Below are 13,385 nucleotides of genomic sequence, written 5' to 3'. Positions count from 1 at the left end.
AGCTTGGTTTGTTCCATATGGATGACCCATTGATCCAGGACCATTCATTTATAGTTCAAATTTTCATCTGATCTACGATATTGTTTTTAATATGTATTGCGTCTATTCCCAGGCTCTTTGTTGTGATCCATCGGTCTAGCTATACAAATCCACAGCAATGTAAACTAAATTGTTTTAATTACTATAACATTACAGTAAGTCTTGCTATCTAAAACTCTGTTGCTGCTTTTCTTGGCCTTCTGCACTCCTATATAAACGTTCTGATTAAATTATCAACTTTTACATGCATAAACACACATAGACACAGACACTTCCAATGGGTTTTTAGTGAATTACATAGATTTTAATAATGAATCTTCGATCTATGTCTATGATAGATTTTTCCATTTACTTAACACCCTGATTTGTCTCAACAATGTTTTATAGTTTTGCGTTTTGAAGTCTTGCACTTTTGATTACATTTATTTATAGGTATCTGATATTTGATACTATCATAATTGGTATCACAATAAAATTTTATTTTCTAATTGTTTACTGTTAGTATATAGATATACAATTGATTTTTAAGTATTGACTTTGTATCAATAAATGCCTTTTTGAATTTTATATAATTTTTTAATTGATATATTACAACTGTACATTTTTTGGTTGTATATGTGATGTTTTGATATATGTATAGAATGTATAATGATCTAATCAGGGTAATTAAGATATACATTACCTCAAACATTTATCTTTTTTAAAAAATTTGTTATAATTTTTTGTGTTTTTTAACTTTTAAGTTGATGGATAGATGTGCAAGTTTGTTACATAAGTAAACCTGTGTCATGAGGGTTTGCTGCACAGATTATTTTGTCACTCAGATATGAAGCCTAGTACCCATTAGTTATTTTTCCCGATTTCCATTCTCCCACTTTTTACTCTCCCATAGGCCCCAGTGTGTGTTGTTCCCCTCTGTGTGACCATGTGTTATCATTTAGCTCCCACTTATAAGTGAGAACATGCAATATTTGGTTTTCTGTTCCTACTTTAGTTTGCTAAGGAAAATGGTCTCCAGCTCCATCCATGTCCCTGCAAAATACATGATCTTATTCTTTTTATGGCTGCATAGTATTCCATGGTATATGTGTATCAAATTTGCTTTATCCACTCTATCATTGATGGGCATTTAGTTTGATTCCATGTCTCTGCTTTTTGAACAGTGCTGCAATGAACACATGCATGCATGTGTCTTTATAACAGAATGATTTATATTCCTTTGAATATATACCCAGTAATGGGATTGCTGGATCAAATGACATTTCTGTCTTTAGGTTTTTGAGGAATTGCCACACTGTCTTCCAAAATGGTTGAACTAATTTATACTCCCACCAACAGTGTATACTCATTTCTTTTTCTCCACAACCTTGCCATTATCTATTTTTTGACATTTTAATGATAGCCATTCTGACTGGTGTGAGATGGTGTCTCATTGTGGTTTTGACTTGCATTTCTCTAATGATTAGTGATGCTGAGCTTTTTTCCATGATTTTTGGCCACATGTATGTCTTCTTTTGAAAAGCGTGTAATCTTGTCTTTTGCCCGCTTTTTAATGGGGTTGTTTGTTTTTTCTTGTAAATTTATTTACATTCCTTATAGATGCTGGATATTAGACCATTGTCCAGACTGATAGTTTGCAAATTTTTTTCTCCCATTCTGTAGGTTATCATCTGTTTACTCTACTGATAGTTTATTTTGCTTTTAGAAGCTCTTTAGTTTAATTAGATGCCATTTATCAACTTTTGCTTTTGTTGTAGTTGCTTTTGACATCTTTGTCATGAAATCTTTGACTGTGACTATGTCCTGAATGGTATTACCTAGGTTGTCTTCCAGGGTTTTTATAGTTCTCAGTTTTACATTTAAGTCTTTAATCCATCTTGAGTTGATTTTTGTAGATGGTGTAAGGAAGGGGTCCAATTTCAATCTTCTACATATGGCTGGCCAGTTGTTCCAGCACCATTTGTTTAATAAGTAATCGTTTCCCCATTGCGTGTTTTTGTCAGGTTTGTTGAAGATCATAGTTTTAGGTATGCAGCTTTGTTTCTGGGTTCTCTATTCTGTTCCATTGGTCTATGTTTCTGTTTTTGTACAAATACCATGCTATTTTGATTACTGTAGCCATGTAGTATAGTTTGAAGTCAGGCAGCATGATTCCTCCAGCTTTGTTCATTTTGCTTAGGATTATCTTGGCTATTTGGGGTCTTTTTGGTTCCACAGGAATTTTAAAATTTTTTTTCTCTAGTTCTGTGAAGAATCTCAATGGTAGTTTAATAGGAATAGCATTGAATCCATAAATTGGTTTGGGCAGTATGACCATTTTAACAATATTGATTCTTCCTATCCATGAACATGGAATGTTTTTCAATTTGTTCATGTCATTTTATATTTCTTTGAGCAGTGTTTTGTAGTTCTCCTTGTAGGGATCTTTCACCTCCCTTGTTAGCTGTATTCCTAGGTATTTTATTCTTTTTGTTGCAATTGTAAATGGGATTACATTCCTGATTTGGCTTATGGATTGACTGTTTTGTGGTATAGAAATGCTAGTGATTTTTACACTTTGATTTTGTATCCTAAGACTTTACTGGAGTTGTTTATTAGCTTAAGCAACTTTTGGGCTGAGATGATGGGGCTGAGATGAGAGGATCGTGCCATCTAGAAACACGGATAGATGGACTCTTTCTCCTTCTATTTGGATGCCCTTTATTTCTTTCTCTTGCCTGATTGCCCTGGCCAGGTTTTACAATACTATGTTGAATAGGATTGGTGAGAGAGGGCATCCTTGTCTTCTGCCGATTTTCAAGGGAAATGCTTCCAGCTTTTGCCCATTCAATATTTATGTTGGCTGTGGGTTTGTCCTAGATGGTTCTTATTATTTTGAGGTATGTTCCTTCAAAACTTAGTTTATTGAGAGTTTTTAACATGAAGTAATGTTTAATTTTATCAAAAGCCTTTTCTGCATCTTTTGAAATAATCATGTGGTTTTTATATTAATTCAGTTTATGTGATGAATCACATTTATTGGTTTGTGTATGTTGAACCAACCTTGCATCTTAGGGATAAGGCCTACTTGATTGTGGTGGATAAGCTTTTTGATGTGCTCCTGGATTCTCTCTGCCAGTATTTTGTTGAGGATTTTTGCGTCAGTGTTCATCAAGGATATTGCCTTGATTTTTTTTTTTTTTGTCTCTGCCAGGTTTTGGTATAGGGATGATGCCAGCCTCATAGAATGAGTTAGGGAGGATTCTTTCCTCCTCAATTTTTTGGAATAGTTTCAGTAGGAATGGTAACACTTCTTTGTACATCTGCTAGAATTCAGCTGTGAATCCATCTGGTCCCCAGCTTTTTTTGGTTGGTAGGCTATGTATTACTGCCTCAATTTTAGAACTCGTTATTTGTCTATTCAGGGATTTAATTTCCTCCTGGTTTGGCCTTGGGAGGGTATATGTGTCCAGGAATTTATCCATTTCCTCTAGATTTTCTAGCTTATGTGCATAGGGGACATAACACCCTGTGTTGGGTGCATATATATTTAGGATAGTTAGATCTTCTTGTTGAATCAAACCTTTTACCATATGTAATGCCCTTCTTTGTCATTTTGGGCTTTGTTGGTTTAAAGTCTGTTTTTTCAGAAACTAGGATTGCAACCTTTGCTTTTTTCTGTTTTTTGTTTGCTTGGTAGATTTTTGTCCATTTCTTTATTTTGAGCCTATGTGTGTTATTGCTTGTGAGATGGTTCTCTTGAAGACAGCATACCACTGGGTTTTGGTTCTTTATCCAGCTTCCACTCTGAGTCTTTTAATTGGGGCTTTTAGCTCATTTACATTTAAAGTTAGTATTGATATGTGTGGATTTGATCCTGCCATATGATGTTAGCTGGTTATTTTGTGGACTTGTTTATGTGGTTGCTTGGTAGTGTCACTGGCCTGTGTATTTCAGTGTGTTTTTGTCATGGCTAGTCATAGTTTTTTCTTTCCATATTTAGTGCTTCCTTCAGGAGCTCTCATAAGGCAGGTCTGGTAGTACCAAATTTCCTCAGCATTTGTTTGTCTGAAAAGGATCTTATTTCTTTTTCACTTATAAGCTTACTTTGGTCAGATATGAAACTCTGGGTTGAAATTTCTTTTATTTAATAATGTTGAATATTGGCCCTAAATGTCTTTTGTCTTGTAGGATTTCAGCTGAGAGGTCTGCTGTTAGTCTTATGGGCTTCCATTTGTAGGTTACCTGACCTTTCTCTCTAGCTGCCTTTAACATTTTTCTTTCATTTTAACCTTGGAGGATCTGATGACTACATGTCTTGGGATGATCTTCTTGTGAAGTATCTTACTGGAGTTCTCTACATTTCCTGAATTTGAATGTTGGTCTCTCTAGATAAGTTGTGGAAGTTCTAATTGATGATATCCTAAAATAATTTATCCAAGTTGGTTCCATTCTCCCTATCTTTTTCAGGGACAACCAGTCAGTTGTAGATTTGATGTCTTTACGTAATCCCATGTCTCTTGGAGGTTTTGTTTATTCCTTTTCATTCTTTTTTCTCTATTCTTGTCCGCCTGTCTTATTTCAGAAAGCCAGTCTTCAGGCTCTGAGAATCCTTCCTCTGCTTGGTCTGTTCTGCTATTAATACTTGCAATTGCATTATGAAATTCTTGTAGTGTGTTTTTCTGCTCTATCAGGTCAGTTATGTTGTTTTCTATACTGGTTATTTTGTCTGTCAGCTCCTGAGTTACTTTACTGTGATTTTTATTTTCCTTTTGTTGGGTTTCAATGTACTCCTTTAGCTCAATGATCTTCATTCCTATCCATATTCTGAATGCTATTTCTGTCATTTCAGCCATCTCAGTCCAGTTTTGAATGCTTGCTGGAAAGGTGATGTGGTCATTTGGAGGAAAGAAGACACACTGGCTTTTTGAGTTTTCAGCGTTATTGCACTGATTCTTTCTCATCTTTGTGTCCTGCAGTCTTTGAGGTTGTTGACCTTTGGATTTTTTTTATCCTGTTTGATGACCTTGAGGGTTTGTGGTATAAGGTGGATTTAGCCAACTGGCTTCGTTTCTGGTAGATTTTAGAGAGCCACCACTCAGCTCCCAACTCCTGGACTGTGTGCTCTAACTCTGGGGGACTTGTATTGGGCCCCAACTTTGTTTTCTAGCTGCTCAAGGTTTGCAGTTCACTGTGCTGGGGGAACTGAGGTACAGCATCTGCAGCAGAGTGCTGGCAGATGCAGGGGTGCCTGCTTCCCTGCAGGCATTCACTACAGTGACAAGGCAATGAAGTTTGTGAAGAGGCAGGGCCCCTGCTGGAGACTGTGCATGGTTGCATTGGAGGTGGTGTTGGCTCAGGGATGCGGTTCTGGCTGGCACAGGTCTGGGTGCCTTCTCTGTGCCCCTCAAGCAAGAGTAATTGCTAATGGTGTGAGAGGATCCACTGTGCTCTGAGCAGTGTTACTGCAAGGGTGGGGCACTGGCAGGGGTGGGGCTTGCTGGCTCTGTGCCCACCAAGCCTCCATTTGCAATGGCTATGAGCAAGGGAGAGGGAGCAGACTGCACTTTATGTGTGGAAGGGCAAGTAAAACAAAATCCACCCATGCAGACACACACCAGCAAAGTGATGTGGGGAGTTGCCTTGGGCCGAGGGGAAGCTGCAGTATGGGGAAGGTGTGGGCAGCTGGTGCATGGCCATTGAAACTGCCTCACTGGAGCTCTTCACCAGTCAGGCATGGTCTGCTCACACAGAAGATATGGTTTGGGGCCCCAGGGAACCCAAGACTGTCCTGTAAGCAGATGTGGCCAGGCTGGGGACCCAGGAATGGCCAGCAGACAATAGGGTGTTCATATTGGACCAGCCCCATCTGATATGGAAGACTGTCCTGCAAAGATCAGGTCCCTTAGTGATAAAGTATCTTATGGGACCAAGTCAAGCCTAGGGGGATGGTGGTCCCTGGCGGTGCTCCACTACAGATGCCCCTGCACCAAACCCTGTGAGCTCCACATCAGCTGGCTTGCTACTTCTACCACTTCTCAAAGCAGCTCTCCCTGCCACCTCAATTGTCCATGGTGGTCAAGGGTTCTCCTCCTGCCAGAGTTCCAGAGGCTGGTAGTGAGAGTGGGTGACTCCATTCCCCCAGAGCTGTTGTGGTTCAAGAATGAGTTCTGTGCTAGCCACAGTGGCTCACGCCTGTAATCCCAGCCCTTTGGGAGGCCAAGGCAGGCGGACATGAGGTCAAGAGTTCGAGACCATCCTGGCCAACATGGTGAAACCCTGTCTCTACTAAAAGTACAAAAATTAGCCAAGCATAGTGGCACACACCTGTAGTCCCAGCTACTCAGGAGGCTGAGGCAGGAGAATCGCTTGAACCCAGGAGGTGGAGGTTGCAATGAGCTGAGATCAAGCCACTGCTCTCCAGCCTGGCGACAGAATGAGATTCTGTCTCAAAAAAAAAAAAAAAAAAAAAATTAGTTCCTGTGTGTAGTTCAGGGTTCCCAGCTCTTTCTCCCTTCAGCCCAGTTTGTGTGTCTTTCCTCCATCCACTCTCAGTTCCTTGCCTCTAAAGATCTGTTTAAAGCCTGCCAGTCATCTTAGTCCCTCCATGGGAGCCATTCCACTTATTTGAGTCTAGTCAGCCATTTTGCCCTCTCCCTCAAACATTTCTCTTTTCTCTGTGTTGGGAACATTATAATTCTGTTCTACCTATTTTGAAATATATAATAAATTGTCATTAACTATAATTTTCCTACTGTACTATCAAATACTAAAATTTATTCCTTCTATCCATCTGTATTTTTGTACCCATTAATTAACTTCTCTTAATCCTCCAACTTCCTTACTGGCCTCTGGTAATCAGCATTCTATTCTCTACCTCTATGAAATCTACTTTTTTAGCTCCCACATCTGAGTGAAAACATGCAATATTTATCTTTCTATGCCTGGATTGTTTCACTTAATGTTGTGACCACCAGTTTCATTCCATTGCTGCAAATGACAGGATTTAATTTGTTTTTTGAATAACATTTCATTGTGTATGTATTTTTGAATAATATTCCATTTTTTATCCATTCATCCATTGATCCACACTTAGGTTGATTCCATATCCTGACTATTGTGAATAATGCTGCAGTAAGCATGGGAGTGCAGATACCTCTTTGATGTACTGATTTCCTTTCCTTTGGATAAATGCCCAGTGATGAGATTGCTAGATCACATGGCAGTTCTCTTTTTAGTATTTTGAGGAACTTGTATACAGTATTCCATAATGCCTGTACTACTTTCCATTCTCACCAACAATATATGAGTGTACCTTTTTTTCTACATCCTCACCAACATATTTTATTTTTTGTCTTTTTGATAATAGCCATTCTAATTGCAGTGAGATGATACCTCATTGTGGTTTTGATTTGCATTTTTTGATGATTAATGATGTTGATAATGTTTTCATATACCTATTGTCCATTTATATGTCTTCTTTTTGATAAATGTCTATTCAGGTCTTTTTCCCATTTTTTAATTTTTTTTGTTTGCTATTGAGTTGTTTGAGTTCCTTATATATTCTGTTTATTAATCCCTTGTAGGATGGATAGTCTACAAATATTTTCTCCCATTCTGGAGGTTGTCTCTTCATTTTGTTAGTGGTTTTCATTGCTGTGCATAAGCTTTTTTAGCTTGTTATAATCCCATTAGAATAGTCCCTGCAACTAACGTGAACAATATTAAATGGGAAATGTACTTATGATTGGACAAAAGTATTGCATATATGACAAGACAGAATCAAGGCCACTCTTTAGGACTGCACGCAGGCTGTTCACGATACCTTTACCCACATTGGACCACTCTTTGGCCTATACCTGGAATGGAGCTTTCACATTTTCAGTAGCACCATGAGCCCCTTGGTCAGGATGGGCAGTACTCCATTCCTCACATATGACTGCCTTGAAGGTTATACCTACTCTTAGACTAACAGTGTACTGTGGTCACTATTTACAGAGCTCTGATATAGAGCACCGTATTACTGAAACAAGAAGCTCAGGTTAAAAATTTAAATCTAAAGAAAAAATAAAAAGAAAGAAGGAAAGACATTGTAATGTACCAAAAGATCTGGCTTTATTGATGAGAAGAGGAAACGCTCAATAAATATTGAACACCTGTTTAGATCTAGATACAATATGCCAGGTGATTTACTTATATAATCTTACAGATTCTTACAACAACTGTGGTAGGATACTGTCACCATCTCAATTTTGGATGTAAACAATGTCCAAAAAAAAAAGAATAATTACCTTTCCTAAACTCGCAGAACGTGTAGGGAACTGGGATTCAATCTCAAGGGTAACTGGCTAAAAAGTCTATAATCTTATTCCTCTGAGGCAACAGACTTGGTTTAAATACTAGCTCTGCTACTTATTAGTTATATGATTTTAGTTTACTTAATCACATTACCAGTCCCTCATCTGTAAACAAGAGGTGACAAATAGTTCCTGTCTCAAAAAATTCATTATCCTCAAAACAAATGAGATAATGCATCAATATCAGAATATCTGGGGTGGGGCCCAAGCATCTGTCATTTTAAAAGCTATACTAGTGATTCTAATTTACAATTAGGTTATTCTAATATATAAAACATTGTTCTAATGTGAATGAAGTGTTTAATTCAGAATATGGTACATAGTGTGTGCTCAGAAATTATTATTATTTTCGTGGTTACCATTATCTTATGGATGCCACATCTTCTTATTCATTTTGAGTAAAAACTAATGATTAAGTACAAAATATGGAAATTCAGGGTTTCCTGCGCTGTCTGCTTTCTTATAATTTTGAATCTCTCCACCACAAGCGATGTTGCTAAATGGCTGGAAAACATAAAAAATACTTGAACAGGGAATGGTAAGAAATGATGTTACTGTTTCCATGTAATATTATAGAGAAGGTATGATCTTTATGGCCAAAACACCTAAGATTTAAGTCCTAGCTCTACCAATAGTTTGGGGATTTTTGGAGGGCAAGCCACTTTGTTTAAGTGTCAATTTCCTCACATCTAAAATCGGGCTAAAATAAACAACTTTTGTTTATAAATGGAGTAAACAAATAATGTAGCATATTTAAAATACCTGGGAAATTTCCTAGGCACACAGTAGGATGTTAATGATCAGTGCATGTTTCACTTTATTTCTCATTTCTTTATTCCAGCTTCACATATTTACATCATTGCTTTATTAGCTTTCTCTCTGTATTTATCAATAATCTAGAACCTGAAAGTGCAGTATGGCTTCCAGGTTCACTGGAAATGGATCTGACAACTGGAATCTCAGAAAAAAAAGGGGGGGCTTATGCCCTCTGAGGTTCAAAGGCCATTTGTCCCCTCAATATTGATTTTCTTAAATCAGATACTAGCCAAGACCCTGAGAGAAGTAATTGAATTGACAAAAGGCAAGTCTAGGTTATTAATAATGGAACAGCCTTGGACATTCTTGATGACTTAATTTAATGACAGAAGAGAGGTCTGAAACCAAAAGGCCTAGAGATGCGGTAAATGGCTGGTCTCTGAGGAGAAAGGAAAACACAAGTTATCCCTAAAAGCTTATTTCATGGAACAAAGCATTTTATTATAGTCCTAAACATGAGGCCAGAGGATATACTTTTGATTTTCTCTTTTTAACAAAACAAAATTTTAAAGACTTGAATAATTACCATTAAATTTATTTTTTGCCCTTGGAAAATAGACTTGTTTAGGGTTATGGAATTTTGGAATCTTAGTGATTAACTCAAGAGTAAAAATCATGGACATCTTATCTGTTTATCCCCTGAATTCAAGTATCAATTCTGTCATCTACTAGTATGACTTCAATCAAGTTAGGTAACCTCTCTGAGCCATAGTGTCTACATTTATTAAATGAGGGTGTTAATATTTATTTTTATGGTTATAGAAGAATATTTCCAATGTTTAAAAAAGTATATACAATTACTGTCACTTGATACTATATAATACCTCACGCAGTAAATACTTGTTGAATAAAATAATACATGAATTTTGATGGTTTTGTTTTTTTCACTGTCCCTGGAAAGAAAGGCTAGCCTGTGGTAACCTCTTGAAATCTTTTCTTCTCTCCAGCTATTCTGGCTGCTCTACCCGTAGCTCTCATCATCTCTCCTTTGGACTATTTCAGTGGTTTGAAGTGTCTTTTTATCATATTTCTCTTCTCTTTCACAATCTTCCCTCCCCTCTTATAACAAAGTTGTTTGCTGAAACAAAGATCTGAGCTTTTAAAATTATACTATCCTCTTGGAAAGGCATCTAGAATGTCATAATCACTCATTTTAAAGATAAGACCCAGAGATGGGGAGAGATTTACCCAAGTACTTATGGCGCTATAAACGTATGCTGAGATTATAGTTGAGCCTAGTACCCCGACCCCTAGTAGAAAATAACAAAGAGGGTACGAAAGAGGATGTATATCCTTCAGTTCTAGTCAAAGGGGTTTCAAGTAGTTGTAGAATGTTTTAATAGCAATTTTGTTCTTAGTTAATATTTTTAGTGTTTTTGAACTTTAAATGTACTACTCTTACCCTGATGATAATATGATTTACTTCTATGTAAATTCTAGGTCAGCCAAGAGAAAGGATACACTTAATAACTAAAACTTATGTGACATTCATTGTGTACCAAGTATGGTACCAAATACTGTACATATATTAATTTAATTATCATCAGAGTCCTGTGAAGTAGGTACTGTTATTATTCACATTTTTCAGATCAGGACACTGAAACAGATCTTTAGTAGCTTGGCAAGGCCACACAATTGAAAAGCAGTAGAGTTGGTTCTAAAATTCAAGTTTCCAGGTTCCAGAGCTAATGCTTAATTGCTATGCTTAGCTGGCACAAACACATTACATTCTCATGAGCACTGTGTACTCTCACTATACAGTTGCCTGCTAGTCCATATGGCTTTCTTTAACCCTGTTTCTTATTTCCTGTCTTAATTATCAGGAAGTTACAATTTGCATAGCATAAAGATGAACTTCTCCCTCTTTCTTTTTCAGAGGGTCATTTTCAACATTGTTAACTTCAGTAAAACCAAGAGTCTCTATAGAGATGGGATGGCCCCTATGGTGAAATCTACCAGCAGACCAAAATGGTAAGTGATCTACAGAATGGGACCCCTTCCTGGTTAGAAAATTTGTCCCAGACCCCATACATATACACACCTACTAATGGACCCCCAAAAAAAATTAAAAATAAAAATTTTTAAAAGAAAATTTTACCCAGAACTCTAGTTTATCTGCTGTACAGCTGGGGATCAGACTTACTGTCACTGAGAAGAATGAGGATGAGTTTCTGTATGGCCATTCTTTGGGTACTGTTCTTGAGAATGTTGGAAACATGGTCCTGTGCTTGGGATGACCAGCATTCAATTATGAGAAAAGGCAGTCTGTTATTTGGTAAGCTTCCTGTCCTGTTTGGCTTTTATTATGGTATCTTTGGAAACATAAATAAAGTTGGTTCTTTTTTTTTTTCCTAGCCTAAGCATAGATTATGTTTAGTAACTTAGGAGGACATTAGGGACTACAGTTCAGTAGCTTTCTCTTGCTTTGCATGGTTTTTGTGTTTTGTGTGTGTGTGTGTGTGTGTGTGTGTGTGTGTGTGTGTATTTTAAAGTTCTATTTGTACCATTGCTATAGTGAGGAGGAGGGGAGTTGGATAGGATTGGTTAATAATTGTAATAATGATGGTAATAATAATATTAATAATACTAGTAATAATAACTACCTCACTTATTAAAAATCCATTTGGGTCAGATGCTTTATATTTGTTGTTACTATTTCCACATTTTTGCAAAGGAAATTTTAAGTATCCCTATATTACAGATGAAAAAATTGAGGCTAGGATAAGTTAAGTACTTTGTTAAGACCATAAAGAGTAAGGGAGTGCCCTGTGTTATTTATGTTACCCTGTAATACCTTTTCAGCCAATTCATTCATTCATTTATTCATTCAGCAAGTATTGATTGAGTACAACAAAATGAAAGACTTCAAAGACAAAAACCTAGTATTATTAACCTATTCATCTATCACACAGTAGGTGTTAAGTGAATGCCTGTTAAGATGAACTGAATTTGTTATGAGAATTTACATGTAAAGTTTTGCCTGGCACTTACTAAGTGCTCAATAAATGGCATCTATTATTAATAGTATTATATAAAACCCTATACAAATGCAACGAATTGTTAATATTGTTATAGCTTTGATCTCTGTTCAAATATTAATGACTAGTGAGAAGATAGTCTCCAAATGTCTATATTTATAGCAAACTAGCAATTCATAAATACTGAATTGCGCTTTTATCTCCAAATGATACTTGGCAATTTTCTATTAATGTTGGGCTGAGAAGCTCAGGTTTATAAAAGTGTAGGCATTTGATGACAATAATAAACACTGTTTATGAAAGGTGAAAATATCTCCTTGGGCATGATTTTTTGCTTTCCTGTATCAAATCAACTAATCTGCTGCTCCTTCTCTCAGTCTTTCTGGGCAAGGGGTAGGCCTTTGCTTTGAGTCTCTGGTTCCAGCCCAAGTAGATAATAATAGAAATCATTTCTCTGTTAATAGGCATATATATAGATTAGTACTATAAACCTTGCAAGTAACAGGACATCACTGTTGATTTGCTCATGAGGGCCTTCGAAATGACATTGTATATATTTTTCCATATTCTGTGTTGGGATCTTGTACAGCAATAATAATCACCATCCATTTTTCCCAAATGTTAAGTTCTAGAATCCTTTTTTGTGCTTTTGAAGATGCATAAGCCTTAATTATTTCACTTTGCTTCTTTTTTCTCATGAACTATGTTGTGTCTTCTCTGCTAGGGCTCTTGATAAGATTTTGAAATTTTATTGGGTCCTTGCTTTTGGATTATGATGCTTTAGAATTAAGTTGGTGCTCTTATGCAATGTTGGCAGGCAATCAGCAGCAGCCGTTATCCAGTCATTGGACTCCTCTAATGGTCTGAAAGAGCCTAAAGTTTCAGAATTGAGTTTGTTGTAGTTTATTAAGCCACTTAGGCATAAGGTACCATAGCACATCACACTGTATACGTAATATCTCCTATTTTTTACCTTACCATCCCCAGAACTTGGATACAAAGCTACTTACATTGCTTCAGAGTTTCCTTTCCTCAAGCCAGATGTTTAGATTTTTTTTTTTACTTCATAGGACTTTATTGAGCACCTTCATGTGCTATGCACTGTTGTAGATATTGGGATACAGGATGAATATGCTATAAAAGATCTGTTCCAAAAGGGAACTTTATATTTAGAATTTTTATTAACTAATCTCTACAAATCATAATTGTTATTCTC

General features: G+C 36.7%; 1 protein-coding gene across 10 annotated transcripts in view; it reads left to right on the top strand.

Moving 5' to 3' along the window:
• Positions 1–13,385, top strand: part of AGBL4 (AGBL carboxypeptidase 4) — a 1,501,444-nt gene that overhangs the window by 767,023 nt on the left and 721,036 nt on the right. For all 10 annotated transcript variants that reach the window (NR_136623.2, XM_017002595.3, NM_001323575.2 and 7 more), the window contains one exon: positions 11,068–11,162. Coding sequence is in view for 9 of the 10 variants with exons in the window: in XM_017002595.3 (XP_016858084.1) it covers positions 11,068–11,162 (95 nt within the window). In the remaining variant the exon portion in view is untranslated. The remainder of the gene's footprint in view (positions 1–11,067; positions 11,163–13,385) is intronic.

This window comes from Homo sapiens, chromosome 1, assembly GCF_000001405.40.
Source record: "Homo sapiens chromosome 1, GRCh38.p14 Primary Assembly".
NCBI classification, from domain to species: Eukaryota; Metazoa; Chordata; class Mammalia; order Primates; family Hominidae; genus Homo; species Homo sapiens.
The sequence above is the reverse complement of the archived record's forward strand: the minus strand, read 5'-3'. Positions and strand labels throughout refer to the sequence as shown.